We start from the raw sequence: 25,146 nt of genomic DNA on the forward strand, positions 1-25,146 counted from the left end.
AACCTCCTAACACTGCTGTCCCTGACTAGTCATTCCCATCACATCTTCTGGAATCTTCATTCCTTTACAAAGGAACAACCTAACAGACCAAATTCTCTACAGAGGGCCCTCTCCACCTCCTGAACTCTATGGAAAAAGAAACTTAAAAACCCCATATTACTTCACATAGAAGCTACAGATCCATGCGGGGTAACTGATTCATTGATTCCATTTGTTATCTTATATTACATAGAGTATGTTTTATTTTAGCATTGGCTGATAATAGTGAATTAAAGAAAAGACATCAAGATTTGAGCAAAAAGTTATTAATGAAAAACTATCAGAATAAGAGACCACTGACATAAGAATCATTAAGAGCCAATTTTAAAGCCTTTCAATAAAGATGAAGGTTCAGAATAGTCAAGCCACTTCACTTGAAGATACTAGGAATACGCTGAACCATTTCGAATGGGGTATAAAACCCTAATGGCAGATTCGTAACTAATTTTTCTATCTTACATCAAAGAATCTATTATAGGTTACTTGTAAGCAGCCCTCTTAACTTCTGAAATTTGATTTTACATTTTATTTAACCATTAATCTTAGCTGATACTTCTTTGCTAGACTAAAAAGGCTCCAAAGTCTTCAAGTTTTATTGTATTAGCTAATTTTATACAGATTCATTCTCCAAATATAATACTTTATTCCAATTCCAACTCTCCTCAAATCTCTCCCCCAAACCTACCAAACCCAGTAGTCAAATCTCATTTTTCACCAAGCTGAACACTAGCTAAATAGCTCAGTAATATTTGACAGTTGCTCATTCCTACTTTATGAAATGCTTTACTGGGCTTTGAGGCACCATACATTCCTGCTTTAAAATCTAACTCATTAGTTACTCTTTCATTTCTCCCTGATATCAAAGTGTTGACCTGCCACAATAATTAGATGTCATCCTTCTACTCCACTTCACTCTACCCCACTGTACTCTGTCCTGTCTACATGCATTCCCTAGGAGATCTCTTCCAGCCCTAGGATTTTAAGCACCACCTAAAACACTAATAAATTATTTCCCCATCCCTGATTTCTCTACTCAGCTATTTAACGTCTCGTCTTGAATGTCTAATAAGTATCTCAACCTTCACACATCAAAAGTAAATCTCTTGATTTCTCCTTAAGTGTGCTCCTCTCTCTGTCTTCATCTCAGTAAACAGCATCACAATTCACCCAGCTGCTCAGGCCAAACATCTCAGCATTACCTTCTTTCCTTTCTACCCCACAATGTAATCTATGAACTATCCTGAGAGCTCTAACTTAAAAATATATCCTGGACTGGGCCACTTTTCACCATCTACACTATTACGACCCCACAATGTAATCTATGAACTATCCTGAGAGCTCTAACTTAAAAATATATCCCGGACTGGGCCACTTTTCACCATCTACACTATTACGACCCTACTTGAAGCCTTTATCCTCTCTTGCCCAGGCTGGTGTATCTTGCTTCTATTCTTGCCACAATCTATCATCTCTATACCAGTCAAAGCACGCTTATTAAAATGTAAAACATATCACGTCATTCTCCCGCCCAGAAGTCTCCAGTGACTTCCCTTCACACTAAAATATTATCATGGCTGATATGGTCCCATATGATCTGGTCCCCTTCTACCTTCCTGATTTTATAGTCTACCATTCCCCACTTTCTCACTTCCCCTCCAGCAAGCCACACGGGCTTTCTTTCTTTTTTCTTTCTTTTTTTTTTTTTAAACTCTCTTGATGTATAATATCCACTTAAAGGTACACAAACAGTAACAAATAGTACGTTCGCAAGCATATAGTTTCAATGAATTATCCTCAAATGAACACACCCATGTAACCAAAACCCAGATAAAAACTATCAGAAATTGTGCTATGCACTCTGTCAGTCACTACACCCTCCATCCCTCAAGTAGCTACTATCTTGACCTCTAACAAAGGATTAGAGTTTTTTCTGGTTTATCTAGATATAAATAGAATCACAGAATATATATTACTATCTTACTTCTTTCAGTCAACATTATGTTTGTGAGATTTTATGTTCTTGCATATAGCAGTAATTTGTTCTTTTTCATTGTATAGCACTGTATGAATAAACAATTTGTTAATCCATTCTAATATAAATGGCTATTTGGATTGTCTCCAGTTTTTGGCTATTTCAAGTAACAATTCAGTGGCCATTCTTCTGCATATGTTTTGGTGCAAAAGTGCACACATTTTGGTCAGATATATACCAGGGAGTAAAAGTGTCAGGTCAAAGGGTATTAATCAGCCAGGTACAGTGGCTCACGTAATGCCTATAATCCCAGCACTTTGGGAGGCCGAGGTGGGCGGGTCACCTGAGATCAGGAGTTCGAGATCAGCCTAGCCAACACGGTGAAACCCTGTCTCTACTAAAACAACAAAAATTAGCCAGGCATGGTGTCATGCGCCTGTAATCCTAGCTACTCGGGAGGCTGAGGCAGGAGAATTGCTTGAACCTGGGAGGTGGAGGTTGCAGTGAGTCAAGATTGTGCCACTGCACTCCAGCCTGGAGGACAGAGCAAGACTCCGTCTCAAAAAAAAAAAAAAAAAAAAAAAAAAAAGTATTGACTCATTCAACTTTAAAATATATCAAAACAATTTTCCTAAGTGGTAGTACCAATTTCTGCTCCACTAGCTGTATATGAGTTTGCTGTTTCTACATCCTCACCAACACTTCAAGAGGTCTTTCACATTTTAGCCATTCTAATGACTATATGTTAGTATTTCACTGAAGTTTTAATTTGCATATCCTTGATGATTAATACAGTTGAGAGCTTTTTCAGGTTTATTAGCTATCTGGGTATCCTCTTTGTGAAATGTCTGTTCTAATCTTTTGCTGTGAAACGTCTGTTCCAATCTTTTGCTCTTTTTTTTTTTTTTACTGGATTTTTGAATTGGTAGAATTCTCTATATATCCTAGACAGGATTCCCTTATCAGCTGTATACCAAATATGTTTTCAGTCTGTGGCTTGCCTTTTCACTGTTTCAAGGATGTCTTGGAATGAACAGAAGTTCTCATTCTTAACACATTACAATTTATTCATTTTGCTTATGGTACATTTAGTGTATTATTTAAGTAATCCCTCCCTAACCCCTGGGACTGAAATTTTCTTCATAAAAAGGTTTTTAAAGACTTACTTTCATTAACAGTTATGGATTATAATTTGTCCATTTCATCAAAATTTTGAAATATATGACCATAAAGTTGTACATAACATCCTCTTGTAATCTTTTTAATGGCTATGGGTTTTATAGGGATGTGCTATTTTTCATTTCCGTATTTGTAACATACTTTGCTTTTATCTTTGTCTTTACCAACTTATCACTAAGGATTTATCAGTTTTAATAGTCTATAAAAATAATTTTCAGCTTTGATATTTACTGTTTACTGATTTTAAATCTTTTTTTTTTTGTATTTTGATCATTTCATTGTGATGTCATATAAGGTTACTGCTTATGTTCCAAACATTTGGGATTTCCCTATTATCTTTCCATTACAGATTGCAACCTTAATTCCACTGGGGACAGATAATGTATTCTGTAAGATTAATCCTTTAAAATATATTAAGATGAATTCCAAGGCCTATTTTGGCAAGTGTTTCATACACACATGAAATGAACGTGAATTCTGCAGTTACTGAGTGCATGTTCATTAGGTCAAGCTTATTAAACAATTTTCATTCAAATAATGTGTGTGCATATAAAATATGTGCATGAAAATATACGTACTCAGTATGTCTCTGTTTTATCTGTTATTGAAAGAAATATGTTCGAATATTTCTTATGATTGTGGTTCTATTTCCACTTTTAGAGCTTTCCACTTGTTTACAAGATTAGTCATTTTTACTTATTTATTTATTTTGAGCCAGAGTCTCACCCTGTCACCCAGGCTGAAGTGCAGTGGCGTGACCTTTACTCACTGCAACCTCAGTCTCCTGGGCTCAAGTGATTCTCCTGCCTCGGCCTCCGGAGTAGCTGGAACTACAGATGTGCACTGCCACACCCAGCTAATTTTGGTATTTTTAGTAGAGATGGGATTTCACCATGTTGGCCAGGCTGGTCTCAAACTCTAGGCTCCAGGTGACGCGCCCGCCTCGGCCTCCCAGAGTGCTGGGATTACAGCCATGAGCCACCGCACCTGGCCACAAAATGAGCCGTTTTTATTTTTAATTAATTTATATTTTTGAGACAGAGTCCTGCTTTGTTGCCCAGGCTGCAGTGCAGTGGCACAATATCAGCTCACTGCAACCTCTGCCTCCTGGGTTCAAGCAATTTTCCTGCCTCAGCCTCCCGAGCAGCTGAGACTTCAGGCGCCCACCACCACACCAGGCTAGTTTTTGTTTTTTTAGTAGAGATGGGGTTTCACCACGTTGGCTAGGCTGGTCTCAAACTCCTGACCTCAAGTGACCCAAATGCCTCGGCCTCCCAAAATGCTGGGATTACAGGCAGGAGCCACTGTACCTGGCCAAGATTAGTCATTTTTATTTTTATTATTTTTATTTTTTATTTTAGAAGACCAATTCTGTCCACAGTGTATGAATGTTCTAGGTGAAGCTGGGGTGATGGGGAGAGTGAGGTGAAGACAACATCTACAAATCTCATGACTTTTTGTTGTTGTTGTTTTGTTTCATTTTTTGGAGACAGAATCTCTGTCACCTAGGCTGGAGCACAGTGGCGTGACCTTGGCTCATTGCAACTTCTGTGTCCTGGGTTCAAGCAATTCTCCTGCCTCAGCCTCCTGAGTAGCTGGGATTACAGGCGCATGCCCTGCTAATTTTTGTATTTTTAGTAGAGACGGAGTTTCACCATGTTGGTCAGGCTTGTCTTGAATGCCTGACCTTAGGTTATTCATCCACCTCGGCCTCCCAAAGTGCTGAGATTACAGGCATGAGTCACCACACCCTGCCAAGATTAGTCATTTTTAAATGTTTGAAAATATCATACCAGTAGAGTTATTTCAGATAGGCAAAGGTTTGTTCCTATGGTTTCTCCATTTTAGTGCTAGTGCCATATTGTTCACTATGGAACTCATTAAGTAATTCAGCTTCATATTTAGTTATAAACCGAGGCTTTTAGACAAGTATTTATAAAGTATCTTTCTGCAGTTGAGTACAGTCAATAATCAGTGATATTAAAATGGTAAAAAGCTGAATAAAGTTTGAAACAGATTGAGCTAAGCCATATCTTCTAAAGAAGCAAAAATGGAAATTTAGGGCTTGCCAAGTTGGGCCCCTAAGGGGACCTCAGGAACTAGATAGCCTAGATTCAAGCCATCATTCTAGGATGACCTCGAATTAAGTCCAGCTTCAAATTCTCTGAAGTCCTGACTAGACTGAGATGATCTGGGACTGCTAGTGCCCTTAGCCTGAACACCTACCAGAAACAAAGGTCCATCTTCTTTGGAGAGAGAACATCATCCTAGGACTCAAAAATATCTGCATTTTAAATACTCAATTAGAAATAACTCAGAAATAATCAGACATATGAGAAAAGACCACAACTAAAGGCACAATAGATACAGACTCACAGGGCATTAAAATTTAAATGTACTATCTAACCATTCTACAATTATGGTATGTCCTACCTCAAATAAAGGTTTTTGCCATAAAACGTACGTCATTGGATATTTAAAAAGTTATACCACTTTCCTTTAGTTAGTGTGGTATGCTATCTTAACCCTTCTGTGCCTTATATTTATGGTGTCCCGAGCACTCTGACATTCACTGTTTTTTAACTGCGTTATTATTAAACAATCATCTTCACATAGTAATACAATCTACTATAAACAATGTTAATATGGACAAGCATAACATTTGAACAAAAATGGAAAAAGCATGTGAATGTAGTCAAACTCCTACTCTGTCACTGTAAAAATGACTTCCTATTTAAGTTTTTGGCATCCCTAAAGGCAAAATTTAGGCAACCTAAGACTTTACTTTTTAATTAAGAAACCTAGCTAGATGAGTTTTCAGACTGTTCCAATAGGAGAAGAAAGCTGACACAGCTCTGTTTTTGGCTTTAAAAGAACATCTCATTATAATTACTTTAAAAGGACAATTAAATCCATTCAAACATATAAATACGTTAATCTGCAACTAGGAATCAGCACTTGCTCCCATATTTCCAGATATTACTATTCTAGACAAAAAGCAATTTTTTTTAACTGCTCCTTGTGGAGCAGGGCTAACCCATAGGCAGCATGCCCAGAGTAGCCCAATATTAATTTTCAAAGACTGATAATTATAAAGATATTTAAAGTAACCAAAACAGCATGGTACTGGTACCAAAAGAGGTATATAGACCAATGGAACAGGACAGAGCCCTCAGAAATAACACCACATATCTAAAACCATCTAATTTTTGAGAAACCTGACAAAAACAAGCAATGGGGAAAGGATTCCCTATTTAATAAATGGTGCTGGGAAAACTGGTTAGCCATGTGCAGAAAACAGAAACTGGACCGCTCTCCTTACACCTTATACAAAAATTAACTTAAGATGGATTAAAGACTTAAACGTAAGACCTAAAACCATAAAAACCCTAGAAGAAAATCTAGGCAATACCATTCAGGACATAGGCATTGGCAAAGACTTCATGACTAAAACAGCAAAAGCAATGCCAACAAAAGCCAAAATTGACAAATGGGATCTAATCAAACTAAAGAGCTTCTGCACAGCAAAAGAAACTGTCATCAACGTGAACAGGCAACCTATGGAATGAGAGAAAACTTTTGCAAGCTATCCATCTGACAAAGGTCTAATATCCAGAATCTACAAGGAACTGAAACAAATTTACAAGAAAAAAAAATCAAAAAGTGGGTGAAGGATATGAACAGACTCTTCTCAAAAGAAGACATTTATGCAGTCAACAAACATATGAAAAAAGCTCATCATAACTGGTCATTAGAGAAATACAAATCAAAACCACAATGAGATACCATCTCACACCAGTTAGAATGGTGATTATTAAGAAGTCAGGAAACAACAGCTGCTGGCAAGGCAGTGGAAAAATGGGAACACTTTACACTGCTGGTGGGAGTGTAAATTAGTTCAACCATTGTGGAAGACAGTTTGGTGATTTCTCAAGGATCTAGAACCAGAAACCCCATTTGACCCAGCAATCCCATTACTGGGTATATACCCAAAGGATTATAAATCATTCTACTATAAAGACACATGCACACATATGTTTACTGCAGCACTGTTCACAATAGCAAAGAGTTGGAACCAACCCAGATGCACATCAATGACAGACTAAATAAAGAAAATGTGGCACATACACACCATGGAATACTATGCAGCCATAAAAAAAACAATGAGTTCATGTCCTTTGCAGGGACATGGATGAAGCTGGAAGCCATCATTCTCAGCAAACTAACACAGGTACCGAAAACCAAATGTATGTTCTCATAAGTGGGAGCTGAACAATGAGAACACATGGACACAGGGAGGGGAACATCACACACCGGGGCCTGTCGGGAGGTGAGGAGCAAGGGGAGGCAGAGCATTAGGACAAATACCTAATACATGCAGGGCTTAAAACCTAGATGACGGGTTGACAGGTGCAGCATATCACCATGGCACATGTATACCTGCACGTTCTGCACATGTATCCCAGAGTTTAAAGTAAAATAAAATTTAAAAAAATGTACTAGTAAAAATAAATTTAGTTATTACACCTTTTTTTTTTTTAAAAAAAAAGATATTTAAGGTTATTTTAAGGCATAGTTAACCACCCATGATTTATACTAATGGCAAGATTAATCCCTCAACGCATAAACACAGACACATGTAAACAATTCAACTTGGTGCTCAAAAAGTAAATATTCCAAAGTAAACAGTTGATAACCACAGTAAAGAAGACAAAAAACTCAGAAAGATACACAATGGGGTGATGTGACTGATGTTTACAGAAAAAGTCATGGATTTAAATCTAACCAGGGAGAATGAGTAAGCTCCTGCCCAGAATAAACACTGCATCACAGTATTAGAGAGTATGTGATAGCCTATCGCTATCACTCAGGATAAATGATGCTTTGAAATAGCACCATTTCAATTTCTTTTGTTAGAAATTCAAGTAGATTTGTCATCGCACATGCTTTCACTATGGCATAAAAGTTACTATTATGACTATTAAATAAGTTTCTTAATGTATCTCTGGGACCACATACATTAGATTAACAGAACAGCAGGCTGCAAAGTAAAAACAAAGATTTTTACTATGTTTCTCATATTAACGGGCTCATATTGCATCTTAATATGTATATTGATTATATAATAATGTATTTTAATGGACTAACACATAGAGATTAGCACCAAACAGATTTTTTTTACCCTGCTATTGGGTATGTATAATTCATGTTATTTTTAGACAAAAATGATATTCAACAACAAATAATTGAGAGAAAATATTTAACTTATTTACATATTATTATTAATTATTTACCATTCTAGGAGGTCCAGCTCAAAATTAAATTCATCTCCCTTCACTCTCCCCAGCCCACCCCATAGCTACTCTTCTCAAATCTTAGTAAATAGTGCCACCATTTATTCCATGGCCCAGCCTAGACACCTGAAAGTCATTCTTGCTCCACTTTATCCATCACATACAATCCATCATCAAAACCCATCAAGTCTTCTCCAAAATCTCCCTATCTCCCTCTTAAATCTATCTACCCATTATCTCTACCCTACTTTTTTTTTTTTTTTTTTTTTTTTGAGAGGGAGTCTTGCTCTGTCATCCAGGCTACAGTGCAGTGGCGTGATCTCAGCTCACTGCAACCTCTACCTCCCGGGTTTCAAGCGATTCTCCTGCATCAGCCTCCCAGGTAGCTGGGATTACAGGTGCGCACCACTGGGCCCAGCTAATTTTTGTTATTTTCAGTAGAGACGGGGTTTCGCCATGTTGGCCAGGCTGGTCTGAGACTCCCAACCTGAGGTGATCCACTGCCTCCACCTCCCAAAGTGCTGGGATTACAGGTGTGAGCCACTGTGTCTGGCCTCTACCTTATATTTAATCACCATGATCTCTCACCCGATTCCCTGCAATAGCTTCCTAAATAATCACTATACTTCCAATCCCACCCTCCTAAAGTCAATTCTTCCCACCAGAGTTCTTTCTAAAATGCAAATCTGTTCTAGTCATTGCCCCTGCTAAAAAGCACTTAATTAGCTCTCCATATTGATCTGAAGATCAACTACTTAACATGTCCTATAAGAGAGCTGATCTGGCTTCTTGCTTACCTCTATGGCCTCAGAATTTAACCCCTATCTCCTTCACAGTATAAAATGTAGGCACACTGAACTTTGCTCAAATATGAATTCTCTCTTATCTCATTTTCACATATGCTATTATCTTCTCACCCACACACTGTCGTTCAACACTGCATCGAACCCTTACACAATTGCACCAACCACATCGCATTCTTTTACTACTCTCAGCTTTTCTTCTCTGGTTAATTCCTCCTTCCTTAAGCCTCAGCTTAAATATAACTTCCTCCAAAAGGCTTTCCCTACACTACCCCCATCACTACACTATTCGCACATACACACAGTTAAGGCTGGTATTGTTTAATGTATTTCCAGACTACCCCATATTTGCCTGTTTGGACAGTAAGCTCTAGGAGAAAGGAAAACATGTCTGTTTTGTTCACTGTTTTATCACCAGAGCCCAACCAGTATCTGGCACATCTAGACATCCAATAAGTTTTGCTGCTTGGGTAAAATAGTTGAGAACAATCTCAAATGATGGCTAAAGTCATAATGAGCCTCTAGTTAGTTTCGAAGCTCACATATCCATATATCCTTAGGGGAATGAGCTCGTTTTATGGGCAAAGAGCTCTCCTCCGCTTTTCTTCTCTGAAATACTTTCACGCCTCAATAAGAAACAGAAACCTCTAGACCAAAAATCATCCAAACCAACATGGTCAGGGCAGAAGGCCAGATGAGAAATGCACAGGGCAAAAGGTGCCTGCTACTTGACCTTGAACCTAGGGTGGTTTCATATTACAAATGAAAGGAACCCAAAACCTGACCAATATGGCCAAAGGAAATGGCCAAGGGAAAAAAAAAAACTCCCTGTAGATCTCAGAATCTGTAAGTTTGTCAAAGTTGCCAAGAATATCTATACTCCTGCAAGTCAAAAATTTCCCAGAATGCAATACCTTAATGGGGGGGCAGGGAGACCGAAGGTAGTGAGGTCAAGTTCTTGGTAAGAAAATGAAAGTACTCTCCAACTTAGATATCCCTGGGCTAAAGGGTAGATGGAAATGGGGTATAGGAAGCTAAAAAAAACAAGGGCTCTATCTAATAAGACAGACAAGTAGTAAAATACAATTAAACAGACCATCTGTGGTATATTGCCAAGCAGCAAAGGAACATCACTTAGATGATAATCCATTACATCTTGAAAAATCAATATAACCCAATGCTTACCTGTTAAAAAGAAAAAAAAAGCTCATTAAGAAACTAAATGACCCTGAAATTTTACTATAAGAAACTACGCAACTCAAAGCAATCCTACGGCCAGGCGCAGTGGCTCATGCCAGTAATCCCAGCACTTTGGGAGGCTGAGGCAGGTGGATCACTTGAGGTCAGGAGTTCGAGACCAGCCTGACCAACATGGTGAAACCTCAACTCTATTAAAAATACAAAAATTAGCCAGGTGTGGTGGCACGCGCCTGTAATCCTAGCTACTCGGGAGGCTGAGGCAGGAGAACTGCTTGAACCCAGGAGGTGGAGGTTGCAGTGAGCCAAGATCACACCACTGCACTCCAGCCTGGGTGACAGAGCGAGACTCCATCTCAAAAATAAATAAAAATAAAAACAAATAAATAAAAGCAATCCTAACTCTCCCCTAATAAGACAGAAGGAAATCTAAAAGAATCTCATCTGGGGATGAGAGGAGATCTACCGCTCTCTATCAAAACAAGATATCCATCCACACTTGGAGAAAGTTGAATAATCAATATAGATAAAAACGAATGTATATAAACATACACCCTATACACTTAGAAATCCAAGGGAAATTTCCCTCTATTTTTCCTCTCTCAGCTCCTGCTGTGTTACTGATATTTCATTCTTAAAGAAAGCTCCTTTCATATCTTCCAGTTTTTTTAAAAAAAAAAGAGATTTAAATTACATAGGTGGGTGGGAAGAAGTATACCAAACGAAGCTGAACTCAGAAGTTTCTCCAAAAATCTTAATAAAATTATTTCATCTCTTCTTTCATAAACTCTCAGGTTCTCTTTTTTTTCCTGCGGCAGGGTCTCAGATGCAGTGAGACAATCATGGCTCACTGCAGCCTTGAATTCCTAGACTCAAACAATCCTCCCGCCTCAACCTCCCAAGTAGCTGGGACTACAGGCATGCACCACCATGCCTGGTTAATTTTTTGGAGACACAGAGTCTCGCTATATTGCCTAGGCTGGACTTGAACTTCTGGTCTCAAGTGACTCTCCCACGCTGGCCTCCCAAAGCGCTGGGATTACAGGCATGTGCCACTGCGCCCGGCCTCTCAGGTTCCATACTAAGTAAAATAAATGTTGTTATGAAAAACCCGGCACTTTATTATTTAATTAAAAAATGGTTTCTTAAAATGTCTTCTATTCAACTGTCACTAATAGCAAGAAACAGAACACCTTTTAAAACTGAAAAAAGGTACCCATTATGTCTAACAAGTCTTTGCAATATACTAACATAATTCAATCTTTGAGCACTGTTCATTCTTTTTATGAAAATAAGAACATGTCTTCAATGACATTAATCAGTGGATAAACATAATCTGATTCAGTAGTTCCCATTTAACAGAGCACTAGTCAACTTTCATGTGGGTAGTTTGTACTGCAATAAAGTCATTTGGGTAATGTATACGCTCATTATTTTTATTCCATTCCAATTCCCACTTCTCTAGTCATGACAACATGCTCTTTCTAAAATACACTTTAAAACTTAATTTTCTATTATTCATTGTGTGTGGTGGGGGAATTTTCCCTTTACCTTTCTGAGTTCTTAGCTGGGACTGCTCCAACAAGACAGACCAACAAGAGAAAAACAGTTTATTAACATGTATACCTCATGTATACACAGAAGATTATCCAGGGAGAAATAAAAACTCTCCAAGAGGGAGCCTAAAACTCCAGCTTACATAGCAACTTCAACTCGAAAGGATGTGAAGGAAGGTTACCACAAAAAGCATGGTAAATAAGAGAAACGATTGTTTTGCAGATTTATGTTGTTATCTCTGTTGATAGGAGTCTCTTGCAATTTGGTCATCCTTCTCTTCCCCAGAAAGGGAGACACTCTTACAAATAGAGATTTCCTTTCTAGGTACACATTTCTCTTACAAAAAGGTAACTTGTGCTGTTTTCAGAGATGATCCTGTATCTGCTGGTTCTCAAAATAATCTGCTCAAAATAATCATTATGCCAAAGTGGCATATTTAGGGTGGCATATTGTGGTCTCCTATAATCAAAAAACCCTCTCACTAGTAGCATCTTAAGAGCATTTTGAGAAACACAAAAACAATACCTTACTGTGCCATATTTTGAGTTAGGTTGGGGAACCAACTTCATTTCTATTCGAAAATGCAAGAGGTGGTGGAAAAAAAGGAAGACTAGGAGGGAGAGAGAGGAGGAGAGAAGAACCTAAAATGTTCTTTAAATCCAATTCAGTTGGGGAGGGAAACAGGAGTGGTACTACATGTATGAAACAAAAATTTAAGGATTGTCCTCTGTTCTATATCTACTTAATTTTATATTTAAACAAATCTGTAATTGTTATATTCAAGGAATCTTCAAAAAGTTCACGGAATATGCATTATTATGAAAAAACTATGCAAGAACTTCAAATTTTTTTGTATGAAAATCAACTCTTACTAATTTGTCATAACATACCAGAACAGGATCTAGCTTGAGGTCCTAAGAGGGATAGGACAGCAGTCTGAAAGGGCCCCTATCAGAGCAATATGAATTACGCTAAAATTGAAGCAAGAACAAATATCAAATTTATGGTAAAGCTTGTGTAGAAGAAAAGTAAAATCACTGGTGAGTTGTGAAAAGTTTGTGAGGAAAATGCCTCAAAGATATCAACAGTTTACAAATAGATAACTCTTTTAAAGAAGGCATGAGACAATGTTCAAGATGCCCACAGTGGCAGACCATCCACATCAATTTGTGAGGAAAAAATTTATCTTGTTCATGCCCTAATTGAAGATGATTGAGAGTTAATGGCATGAACAATAGCCAATGCCACAATTCTTTTATAATTGGTTCAGTTTACACAATTCTGACTGAAAAATTAAAGCTGAGCAAACTTTCCATCCGATGAGTGCCAAAACCATTGCATCCAGATCTGCTGCAGACAAGAACAGAGCTTTCAATGGAAATTTTAAGTAAGTGAGATCAAGATCCTGAAGCATTTCTTTGAAGAACTGTAACAGGAGATGAAACATGGCTTTACCAGTATGATCCTGAAGATAAAGCACAACCACAATGGCTACCAAGAGAGAGAAGTGGTCCAGTCAAAGCACAAGCAGACTGGTCAAGAGCAAAGGTTGGCAACAATTCTTTGGGACGCTCAAGGCAGGTTGCTGGTTGACTTTCTGGAACACCAAAGAACTATCATGAAAAGTTAGCCAAAGCTTTAGCGGAAAAAGGCCCAAAGTTTCATCAGAGACTCCTCATACACTATGTAAATGCCCCTACTTACTCCGCTCATCAAACAAGGGCAATTTTGAGAGTTTCAATGGGAAATTATTAGGCATCCACCTTATAGACCTGATTTGGCTCCTTCTTACTCCTTTATGTTTCCTAATTGATATAGATTGGATATCTGTCCCCTCCAAATCTCATGTTGAAATTTATTCTCCAACATTAGAGTTGGGGCCAAATGGAAGGTGTGGTCATGGGGGCAGATCCCTCATGAATGGCTTGGTACATCCCCACAGTAACGAATAAGTTCTCGCTCTATCAGTTCATACAAAAGCTGGCTGTTTAAAAGAATGTAGCACCTTCTCTCTTTCTCACTCCCTCTCTCGCTATGTGATATGCCAGCTCTCCTTCCCCTTCTGCTATAATTGGAAGTTACCTGAAGCCCTCACCAGAAGCAGATGCTAGTGCCATGGTTCTTGCACACCCTGCAGAACTGTGAGCCAAATAAAATACCCAGCCTCAGGTATTCTTCTATAGGAACCCAAACAGACTAACACACCAGTCTTTAAAAATCTGTAGATGGCACCCATTTTTCTTCAGTTACCAATATAAAAAACACTGCATTTGCATAGTTAAATTCCCAGGACCCTCAATTATTTAGGGATGGACTAAATGACTGGTATCACTGCTGACAAAAGAAGTACCTTAAATTTGACGGAGCTTATGTTGAGAAAAAAAGTTATTTTTATTTCTATCTTAATTAATTCCATTTTTCCACAAACTTTTTGACGTCCCCTCATATTAACTTAAGAAAATGCAACCCCAGATGTTTTATATAAATGGCAAAAGAGATAAAAAAATTTGTCTTCCCCAGAAACAGAATAAATTTAGTCATTTAAATATCTATTCATAAAAAAATTGTTTCTCTTTCAGAAACACTGGAATAATTTTACATAATTCTGATCTACCATGTGGAGAACCACTCAGTAACATTCATTTTTATTTTACTGTATTTCAAAATACTGAGTAAATGTTTGAATTTCTAAAATATTAAAGATACTGTGCTACTCTTCATGGTGGGTAACAAGAGAAAATAAAACTGTCATTTTCTATACTGGAAAAAATAAAACCTTCTATAACAAAAACAAAAGGAAAGCCGTGGGAACCAAGCTCTGTGGCGCCATCTTTTGGACTGTACAAATTCTTAACAAAATTCTTTTACATTATTGTAAGAAAAAATTTATTGACCAGAATCAAGCAAGTACTATTCCTATGCCTTTTAAGCCCTGTTAGCTCCACGTTATTCTCACACTTCTGTACTAGGGTATGTTAAATAAGCAGAAGCCATTGAACTGAGACTGTCTCTCTGCACTTTGAGTTCCTTCATAATAAATTGCAACCTTAGTAAGAAAATAAACTGAAACCTAATTTAAGAGTATAGTTTTGTAACAAACAGCCATGTTTCAGCCAATCATAGGCAGCCAACTGATCAGACCACACCCACAGAGAGTAAATATCTCATCACACCATGCCCAAATAAGGCAAATGCCTTGCGGTAGCCAATCAGGTAATTTCTCTAATTTGCTTCCACATTCAACCTATGGAAGCTCACTGCTCATGCTGCAAGGTGGAGCTCTCTCAACCTCTTCTGGTTCTGCATGCTGCCAGATTCATGAATTGTTCTTTGCTCAGATAAAGTGTTAAATTTGTATGAAGATTTTCTTTTAACAGATTAAAAATGTATATATACTAAGCCTACACTAAGCAATTATGTGTAATACTAAAATTCTACTAAAAATTCTGAAAATAAAGGCTTTCTGAATAACAAACTGTAGTCTGAACACCTTACAAAAATTGTTCCTAAAGTGAACTCCCCTCCCCCTAGAATCATCATTACCTGAGAACTTGTTAGAAATGCAAATTCTTGGGCCAAATTCCAGACTAAACTAGAGATGGGGCAGGGAAAGAATCTGCTTTTTTTTTTTAAGATGGAGTCTCGCTCTGTCGCCCAGGCTGAAGTGCAATGGTACAATCTTGGCTCACTGCAACCTCCACCTCCCGGGTTCAAGCAATTTTCCTGCCTCAGCCTCTGGAGTAGCTGGGATTACAGGCCCCCGCCACCACATCCAGCTAATTTTGTATTTTTAGTAGAGAGGGGATTTCGCCACGTTGGCCAGGCTGGTCTTGAACTCCTGGCCTTAAGTGATCCGCCAGCCTAGGCCTCCCAAAGTACTAGGATTACAGGCGTGAGCCGCCGTGCCCAGCCTAGAATCTGCTTTTTAACAAGCCCTCCAGGTTACTCTGATACAAACTAAAATGTGAAGAACAGTCTTTGGGAGATTTAGAAAAAAGTCACAGGAGACACAACCACACACAAGAACCTGTAGAGCAGCAGTTTTTAACTTTACCTTCACATTGGTAACACCAGGGAGCTTTAAAAATGCCTAGGTCTCATAGCACCACTGCACTCCAGCCTGGGCAAAAGAGTGAGACTCCATCTCAAAAAAAAAAAAAAAAAAAAGCCTAGGTCTCACTCCACTGTCCACTATCCAATTTAATGATTATGGGAGATAAGGTAAGCCTAGGCACTGGAATTTTAAAAAGACTCCCAAATAATTCTAAAGTGCCAACAAGGTTGAGCGCCAATGATCTAGAGGATTACATTTTCAGAAGCTAGAGTTCATAAAACATCTTATATTAAGAAATGCTGGTGTCTTAAGTTTTCTGTTGCTGTAACTGAGTATCTGAGACTGGGCAATTTATAAAGAAAAGGAATCTATGTCTTACAGCTCTTCTGGAGATTGGGAAAGCCAAGGTTGAAGGGCCATATCTGTTGAGGGCCTTCTTGCTGGTGGGGACTCTCTGCAGAGCCCTGATCTGGTGAAGGGGCAAGAGCATGCCAAACTGGCTTTTAAAACAGACCCATTCCCATGGTAATTAAACCATTCTTCCTGTGATAACCTATTAATCCATGAATGGATCAAACTACTCTACCCTCATGACCCCATCACCTCTTGAAGGCCTCACTTCTTAATACTGTTACATTCAGGATTAAGTTTCAACATGAGTTTCGGTGGGGACAAATATTCAAACCGTAGCATTCCATCCCTGACCTCCCAAACTCATATCCTTCTCACATACAAATACATTCACTCCAGCTCCATATCCTCAAAGTATTGTTTCAGCACCAACTCAAAATTCCGAAGTCCAGAGTCCCATCTGTGAAGCCTGTGTAATCAAAACAAGTTATCTACTTCCAAGATACAGTGGTAGGACAGGTATAGGGTATACATTCCTGTAAAAAGTAAAGTAGAGGATCCTCTTCAAAGAGACTTTCCTCCCTGTCTAATTAGGAATAAATAGTAAATTCTCTTAGAAGCAAAATTTATTCAAAGACCTGTGCTAACATTCTTAGATATCTGCTAGCCTTAATAAAGAAATCAATGTACTTCGTGTTCTTAGCTCCCACATTTAGCCTAAATATTTGCCCTGGCATGCTTATACTGGTCCAAGCAAGCATTAGGTCATAGCCTGTTCCTCTTCCTTATTTGGAGGTGTTTTTACCTTTCTCAGCATTCCACAAGTTACTTCCTCCTTCCTTTGTTCTCCTCTGCCTTTGCCTCTTTTAGAAAGTTCTAAGTTGCTATCCAATTGGGACAAATACAGAATGTGAGGTCCCGTTCCAGCCAATGGAAACCGGACACAGCAGTAGGGTGAACGCGTCAGGTTATAAATTACCCTGTCCCCTTTGTTCGCTGTACTCTTGTAGCAAAACTGCCGGCAAGTGTACTCTTTCTGCAGAAAGTAAAAATGGCCTGGCTGAGAAAATTAAATTTATGTTCAAGTGCTATTTCTTTGCGGCACCGGGGAACAAGGATTTCTAACATTCCCATTCTAAAAGGCAGAAATAGGCCAAAAGAAAGGAGTAACAGGCCTCAATTAAGTCTTTAAAACCCTGAGAAAGAAGACATTAACTCTTAAAGCTAGAGAGTAATCTCCATTCCATGTCTGAATCCTGTGCACACTGGGATGGGGTTGGAGAGGTGGGCCCTCAAGGTATCAACCCTACTCCTAGAGCTTTCTGGGCTCAACCAGTTAAGAGTAGGTAGCTAGGCAGACATGAGCAGGGCAGAGAGCTCCCCCACACCCAGAATGTCAGGTGACCATCAAGTGATGGTCAGGTGGTTGTTAAACTATCTCCCTAAAATAACTGGTCGCAGCTGGCAGCAGGGAAAGGCAGTCTCCCAGTAGACAGAAAACACCTGAAGCTCGTGATCAGCCGCTTCCCATTAAGATCTCAGGAGCTGGGCGAGTGGGCCCAAGCATGTGCATTTAGATGCAAAATTGCAGAGTTTAACTGGTATATAACCTTCCTCTAAAAATGTTCAACTTAGCAAGGGGGAAAATGCCTCAAATGAGCATGCGCACAACTTGAGTAAACACACTGAGCATATGGCCCCTCGAGTGCTGGCAGGCCACTGCACATGTGGACAGCCCACCCCAAGGAAAAATCAAGGGAGAAGAAACTCAAACCCCGGAACCACGCCAGTGTATAAAACCCCAAGTCAAGGGCCAAACAGAACACTTGAATCTCTCAAGTTGCTTGCTTGGCCCTCTTCCAAGAATACTTTACATCCTATTGTTCCTGTTCTAAAACTTTTTAATAAACTGTCACTCCTGCTCAAAAACTTGCCTTGGTCTCTCACTCTGCCTTATGCCCCTTAGACAAATTCTTTCCTTCAAGGAGGCAAGAATCAAGTTGCTTCAGACCTGTACGGATCCACCACTAACAAGCCCACACTTCAGCTCTCTACAGTTGAAGTTGCAAACTGGTGCCATGCTGCCAGTGGGTCAACAGTTCTAGAATCTCAAGGGCAGCTCTAGCTCTGACCTCACAATTCCACTTGGCATTCTCCAGAATGGACTCTCTGTGGTGGCTCCACCCCTGCAACAAAGCTCTGCCTGACACCAGACTGTCTAATATATCCTTTGAAATCTAGGGAGAGGCTCACATGCCTTCCTAGCTCTGCTTTCTGACAGCCTGCAGAATTAGCACCACATGGATGCCACCAAGGCTTATGGCTTATATCTTCTGGAGCTGCAGGTCAAGCTGTACCTGGGGCACTTGAGCCATAGCGGGGACAACTGAGGAGCACTGTGCTGGAATTCTGGGAGCAGAGGCCCAAGCAGCCCCGGGCGGTAAGCTTATAGGGGGAGGCCCAAGTCCATCACCCAAAACCATTTGTGCCAGAGCTCTGGGCCTGTGATGAGAAAGGGAGGCTCAAAGGTCTCGGAAATGCCTTGAGGGTCTTTCTCCCATTGTCTTGATATTCCCTTCCATTAAGTATTACTCTCTTTAGCAAAAATTGCTGCGCCACACCTTGGTTTCCTCTCCCAAAAAGTTTTTTCACTCTTTACATGGCCAGGCTGAGAGTTTTCCAAATCTTTCTGCTTTCTTTCCCTTTTGATTATAAATTTCATCTTCAGTCATTTTTTTCCCTCTCACAGCTTTATGTAAGCTATTAAAAGTAGCCATGCAGCAGCCTGAATGCTTTGCGGATTAGATAGATCTTCTTCCAGGCATTCTAATTCATGGCTCTAAATTCCTGAATTCCATAAAGCCCTCAGACATGGACACATCCAGCCAGGTTCTTTGTCACTTTATTACAAGGATGCTCTTTACTCCAATATCTTGTTCCTCATTTTCATCCGGGTCCTCATCAAAATGGCCATTACTGTCCATATTTCTATTAGCATTCTGCCCATGACCACTTAAATAATCTCTAAGAAGTTCCACATTTTCCCCAGCCTTGTCTTCTTCTGAGCCCTCACCAGAATCACCCTTAATGCTCCGTTCACAGCAATACAGGTTTTTTTCTATCCTGCTCCTCCAAATTCTTTCAAGTGTCTATCCATTACCCAATTCCAAAGCCACTTCCACAATTTCAGGTATTTGTTATTAGCAACACTTCTCAGTATCAATTTTCTGTCTCAGTCCATTTTGTGCTACTGTAACAGGATACACAGACTAGGTAACTTATAAAACAAAATTTAAAAATGGGTTTATTTAGGTGATGGTTCTACAAGCCAGAAAGTTCAAGATTGAGAGGCTGCATCTGGCAGCTTCTAGTGAGGGCCTTATGTTACATGAAAACATGGCAGAGAAATAGAAGAGGTACCAGGCACATGTAAAAAGCCCAAAACATAGGAAGCAACCTCACTTTACAACAACCTGCTCTCGCAGAAACTAACCATTCCCATAAGAACTAACCCAGTCTTGCAAGAAAGATACTAATCCATCTTAACAACATAATCACCTCTTAAAGGCACCACCTCCCAACACCACCACACTGGGAAACAAACCTCAACATGGGTTTTGGTGGGGACAACCCATACTCAAATCACAGAAGTTTGTAAATCAGACATGAAAAGTGTGGCCTTCCAAACCAAGATAAATACAAAACCCCACTACTAAAAAAAAAGAGACTGTTCACTTCCAGCCTGTTGTTTACTCTTTCAACGGCTATACAAGATGTTTATTATTTAGGGTATAATTGTTTAAAAATTTCTCTATAACTGTATATTCCTAGTTGTTACGAGAAGGCCAAAAAAAAAAAAAAAAAGGTAGGATAATCCTTGCCCTTTCCAGACCATCTAATACAGTTGGAAAGATGAGATATAAAGTAACAATAAAGTACAAACACCAAATTTAGAGTACAGACTGAAAGCACTGACTCAATGAAAGAAGAAATCACATCTAATTGTAGTGTAAGTTGAGCATCCTGAATCCAAAACTCTGAAATCTGAAATGCTCCAATGAGCATTTCCTTTGAGTATCATGTTGGTGCTCCAAATATTTCAGATTTTGGAACATTTCCGATTTCAGATTTTTAGATTTAAGATTTGTTAGATATGAGTTCTAAATTTCTCTTCAAAGAGTCAATGTCAGTATGTTCAATTCTTTGCCTTCTACTTTTAAACTTAACTTCCTCATAAAGCAACCTTTTTCGATTACCTGCTCCACCCTGACTCATTCCAATTTACTGCTCTGCCATAACCATTTTTTCTGCCAAACCACTCACCCCATCACTCTCTTTAAAGTAGCCAATCAGAATTAGTTTAGCCTGTGCGGTCTAACCCTAGCCAATAGGGGAATGACACAGCAGCACGGGCCATGTGCATCAGGAATAAGAACTCCTTTGCCTCCCTTGTCCAGGTGTATGCTCACCATTGCTCCATCTGTAAGGGCACACCCTTCTATAGTAGTACATTTCCTTGCTGAGAATTAAAAACAAAATGTTACATTCGAGTGCTATTTCTTTTGCGGCACTGAAACTTTATTTATAACATATTGTAAATATTCCAAAATCCAAAACACTCCTCGTCCTAAGCATTTCAGACAAGAGATGCTCAATCCATAATATTTATGGCTATTAAAAAAGAGGGAAGAACTTCAGTCTTTAAGGATGCATGTGGTTGGGCATACCTGATGGAAGAAAAGACACAATATTTTTAAGGGAGCTGATAAAATATAGTATAAAACAAACTTTCTCAGGGGTTCCTCATCTGAACCACAGATCACTGCAAATGATGTGATTATATTCTCAATTCTCCCAAGGATGGTACATAACTAGTACCATTCGAGAAGCACAGGACAGAAATAGGAGCTAATTTATTACATTCAAGGGATGGCTTAGAGCCCTAGTTCTCAAATTAACATGACTCAGAATTACTTGGAGAGCTTGGCTTGTTCAAACAGACTGCTAGGCCCCAGCCTCGAGACTGATTCTCTAGGCAAACCCAAGAACATTTTAGGGCACTAAGACTTAATCCTCTGGTGGAGTTCTGGTTAAGAAAGGCTGATATAAAGTATATCTTTATTTGAAAGTTATTTATGTTCTTTAAATACTGAAAACAGAGACCAGTATGAAGAATCAGCAGCATCTTTACTTCATTTATTCAAGACAACATTATCTTGATCTGTTTCACTGCAGTCTTTTCTTTTGAAATAAATATTCTTGGTTGTTACATATGAGGAATATATACAAACATTATACCAACCTATACAAGCCCCAGAACTGAAGAACATGGCCAGTGCCTTCAGAAATGATGTGCTAGAGCAATATAATTCTCAGGCTTCTGTAAAAAAAAAATGGAAGTTCTGCCCACTTATAGCACCAAAGGGCAGCTTACCAATCCTTTCATATCAGAAGGAGTCTTGAGTTATAACTTTAAGTGATCTCTTGGTCAACTAGACCAAATAGTTACTGAAATATTCTCAGTAATATGTCAGCAATATATTTACCATTTCTGATAATATTTTTATTTTATATTTATACTAAATAACGACTTAGTTGGGGAGAAAACTCTTGGATCCTAACTACTTCACAACTTCTCAACCCATTGACTTCTGTCACATTGTGTAACAGAGAAATCTGAAGAAATCTGTATATAACGTATATCACTAATCACCCCATTTACCTTGATTCCTTGGCCTGACTACTCACAGTTAGCTTTTTTTTCTTAAGGCTTATAATTTTAAAAAATTTACCTGAGCTTTTATCTAGGTATGGGTCTCTTTTCACTTATCTGAAATTTCGTGTTTCCTTTAATTATACATATCTGAGTTTGGGAGTATTTGTTTTTACTTAAAGTCTTATTTCATTATATCTGATCATCATTTCTGTTCCAAGTATCTGATTTACTTTCAGTGGAGTACTTATCACTCCTTTGTTGGGTTCCCAGTAACTTTCTTTCATAGTCATTACCTCAAAACATTCATTTTCATCACTTATATATTTTTTTGAATGCTTTGTGAGAGTTTCTCAAGTTTGTTCTCCACAGATACTTCACTATCTGTAATATTAAATTCATCTCTTTCTAATCTACTGCCATTAAAATAAAATGTCAGCTTTGCTACTGTGTATTAGTTCCCAGTCATCCTCCCTGTTTCCTGTTTCCCTTTTTCAACTTGTAGCCCTTTCATCTGAGTTTGCTCTATCCTTATGGGATTTCTTTCCTGTTTTAATGGGGTCACATTTATTTTTACATGCTGTTGGGTATGCCCATTGTTTTTGTCTTCATTTTTTCCTGGTTTCTTTCACATTCACAGGGCAGCTCTTCCTTCAATGCTTCAGATTCTTTCCCTTCCTCTTACTCTGCAGTACTTTTTTCAGAGAGCTTTCCTTTTCCCCAGGTTAAAGCACAACCAACCCACGCTCAGTTTCTGCCAAGCAGAGGTACAGATCACCCTTGCTAGTAGAATCCCTTCCCAAAATGATGTGCAAGATCTAAGCAATTCCCGGTCCTTATTTAGGGTGGTTCTACTAGAACAAAGGGGGAACTTCCTGTATTCCAAATAGTTAAGTTCCTTAAAACATTGAACAGGTGGAATTTCAAAAATTCCACCTTTTGGCCTCATACTACCTACCTACCTAGGCTCTACCTACCTGGGCCCTACCTACCTATGTCCTACCTATTGTCACGGCTCAGGATATGCTACCCCAAACTACGGCCACTTGGAGGCCACTGTGACCTCCCCCCGCCTTTCTGTGGGACAGCTGGCCGTAAAGAAGTTCTCTAACCTACCTCTTCTGAAAGTATGTCTTTTTGTTTTGTTTTGTTTTTTGAGACAGAGTCTCACTCTGTCACCCAGGCTGGAGTGCAGTGGCATGATCTCAGCTCACTATAACCTCCCGGGTTCAAGCAATTCTCGTGCCTCAGCCTCCCCAGTCACTGAGATTACTGGTGCACACCATCACACCCAACTGATTTTTGTAGTTTTAGTAGAGATGGGGTTTCGCCATGTTGCCCAAGCTGGTCTCGAACTCCTAGCCTCAAGCGATTTACCCACCTCAGCCTCCCAAAGTGCTAGGATTACAGGCATCAGCCACGACACCCGGACTTGAAAGTCATTAAACCCTCATGTGACAAGGGCCCCATCCTATACCTGGAGGAAAGGAATGTTACACACAGAGGCCAAGAAGAATCTCAACAAACAAGCCTACCTAAGTTCCCCCATTTATTACTACTGAATAATACCGTTTTTGTCCAATCATACTTCTATATGACTGTCCATTGTTCACTGAACTTACACACAAAAACAGTTTTTCCTGGATCTGTGGGTCTTTGGGTCTTCTTTTCTGAAGGCTCCCATGTCATGTAAAACTTTGATTAAACAAATTTGTTATGCTTCTCTATTGTCAATCTGTCTTTTGTTATATGGATACTGGCCATGACCCCTGCAATCGGTGAGGAAAAGACATTACTTTTTCTCTCCTCCACTACCTTTCTAGGCTCAGTTCAATTCACCATCTTCTCCATGCAGCCCTTTCCTGCCATGAAGACCAATTCTGACCCCTCACTTCTTCAAAGGCTAATCTTTGTCAGTACCATACAATTTACCAATTGTTTTGTAATTATTTCATGTTTTCTCTAACTCCAGGTCAAGTTAATCAATGCCAGTTACATTTTAGACTTCTCTGTAATAGCACAGAGGCAGAATATTTGTCAACTGACAGAAATGCAGTTACAGAGAACTTCAAAAAGAATCCAAACACTTCCACTAAGGTGAAATTTTGAGTAACAGGTACAATTTAGGCAACCAAATCTCTAATACTGAATTTAAAAAAAAAAAAACTCAACATTCTAGTTTCTCTTCTGAAGTTTCTGAAAAGAATCAGTTTATTTTTAAGTAGAAAAAAGGCTCTATATATTAAAAGATAAAAACACAATCAGTTTCCATTGCTTAAAAAAACTTGCTAATTCAAAAAGTTAAAATAGCATATAACGTGTGTGTGTGTGTGTGTGTGTGTGTGTGTGTATACATATATTTTTTTGTTTTTGAGACAGTCTCACTTTGTCACCCAGGCTGGAGTGCAGTGGTGCAATCTCAGCTCACTACAAGCTCCACCTCCTGGGTTCAAGCGATTATCATGCCTCAACCTCCTGAGTAGCTGAGATCACAGGTGTGTGCCACCATGCTCAGCTAATTTTTGTATTTTTAATAGAGGCAGGGTTTCGCCATGTAGGCCAGGCTGGTCTCAAACTCCTGACCTCAAGTGATCTGCCCACCTTGGCCTCCCAAACTGCTGGGATTACAGACGTGAGGCACCATGCCCGGCCATATAACATAACTAAGAACATAAAATATTCTTTTGGGCTGGGATAGTCTAAAAGTGCTATAAGCAAATATTATATCTCAAATCTGTCAGGATCCAAAATCCACACAATTATGTTTCAATGAGTTCTATTATATTACATTCATCAGCTCACTTCTGTTTAATAATTATTAACTTATTTTTAATACAACTCACTCATACAATGATCAGAGTAAAAAGTCTACTTACCCCACCCATTGTAATTCCATGAATAAGTGCAACATAAGGTTTCTGGCAAGAACCTGAAAGAAACAGAGCTGTAATTTTAGTTACAGTGTTTAAAATACATTCCCTTTTTCT

The 25,146-nt window shown here is 39.0% G+C and overlaps 1 protein-coding gene across 6 annotated transcripts in view, besides 2 other annotated features; it reads right to left on the reverse strand.

The window, feature by feature from the left end:
• HIBCH (3-hydroxyisobutyryl-CoA hydrolase) overlaps window positions 1-25,146 on the reverse strand; it is a 130,092-nt gene that overhangs the window by 72,816 nt on the left and 32,130 nt on the right. For 5 of the 6 annotated variants that reach the window (XR_922903.3, XM_047443905.1, NM_198047.3 and 2 more), the window contains exon 6: window positions 25,036-25,088. Coding sequence is in view for 4 of the 6 variants with exons in the window: in XM_047443905.1 (XP_047299861.1) it covers window positions 25,036-25,088 (53 nt within the window). In the remaining 2 variants the exon portion in view is untranslated. Of the gene's footprint in view, window positions 1-18,380; window positions 18,519-25,035; window positions 25,089-25,146 lie in introns of those variants that run through there. The other variant, XM_011510954.2, reaches the window with a different exon arrangement.
• Window positions 15,073-15,367: an enhancer, noted in NCBI's record as "tiled region #4599; HepG2 Activating non-DNase unmatched - State 14:Gen5', and K562 Activating DNase matched - State 5:Enh". NCBI's record gives its function as "activates a minimal TATA promoter and a strong SV40 promoter by Sharpr-MPRA in HepG2 and K562 cells {active_cell/tissue: HepG2 | K562}" and the evidence as "EXISTENCE:reporter gene assay evidence [ECO:0000049][PMID:27701403]".
• Window positions 17,427-18,398: an enhancer, noted in NCBI's record as "H3K27ac hESC enhancer chr2:191144703-191145674 (GRCh37/hg19 assembly coordinates)". NCBI's record gives its function as "activates a minimal SCP1, AML or CMV promoter by ChIP-STARR-seq in primed H9 embryonic stem cells {active_cell/tissue: H9 hESC(primed)}" and the evidence as "EXISTENCE:reporter gene assay evidence [ECO:0000049][PMID:30033119]".

The sequence above is a fragment of the Homo sapiens genome, chromosome 2 (assembly GCF_000001405.40).
Source record: "Homo sapiens chromosome 2, GRCh38.p14 Primary Assembly".
NCBI classification, from domain to species: domain Eukaryota; kingdom Metazoa; phylum Chordata; class Mammalia; order Primates; family Hominidae; genus Homo; species Homo sapiens.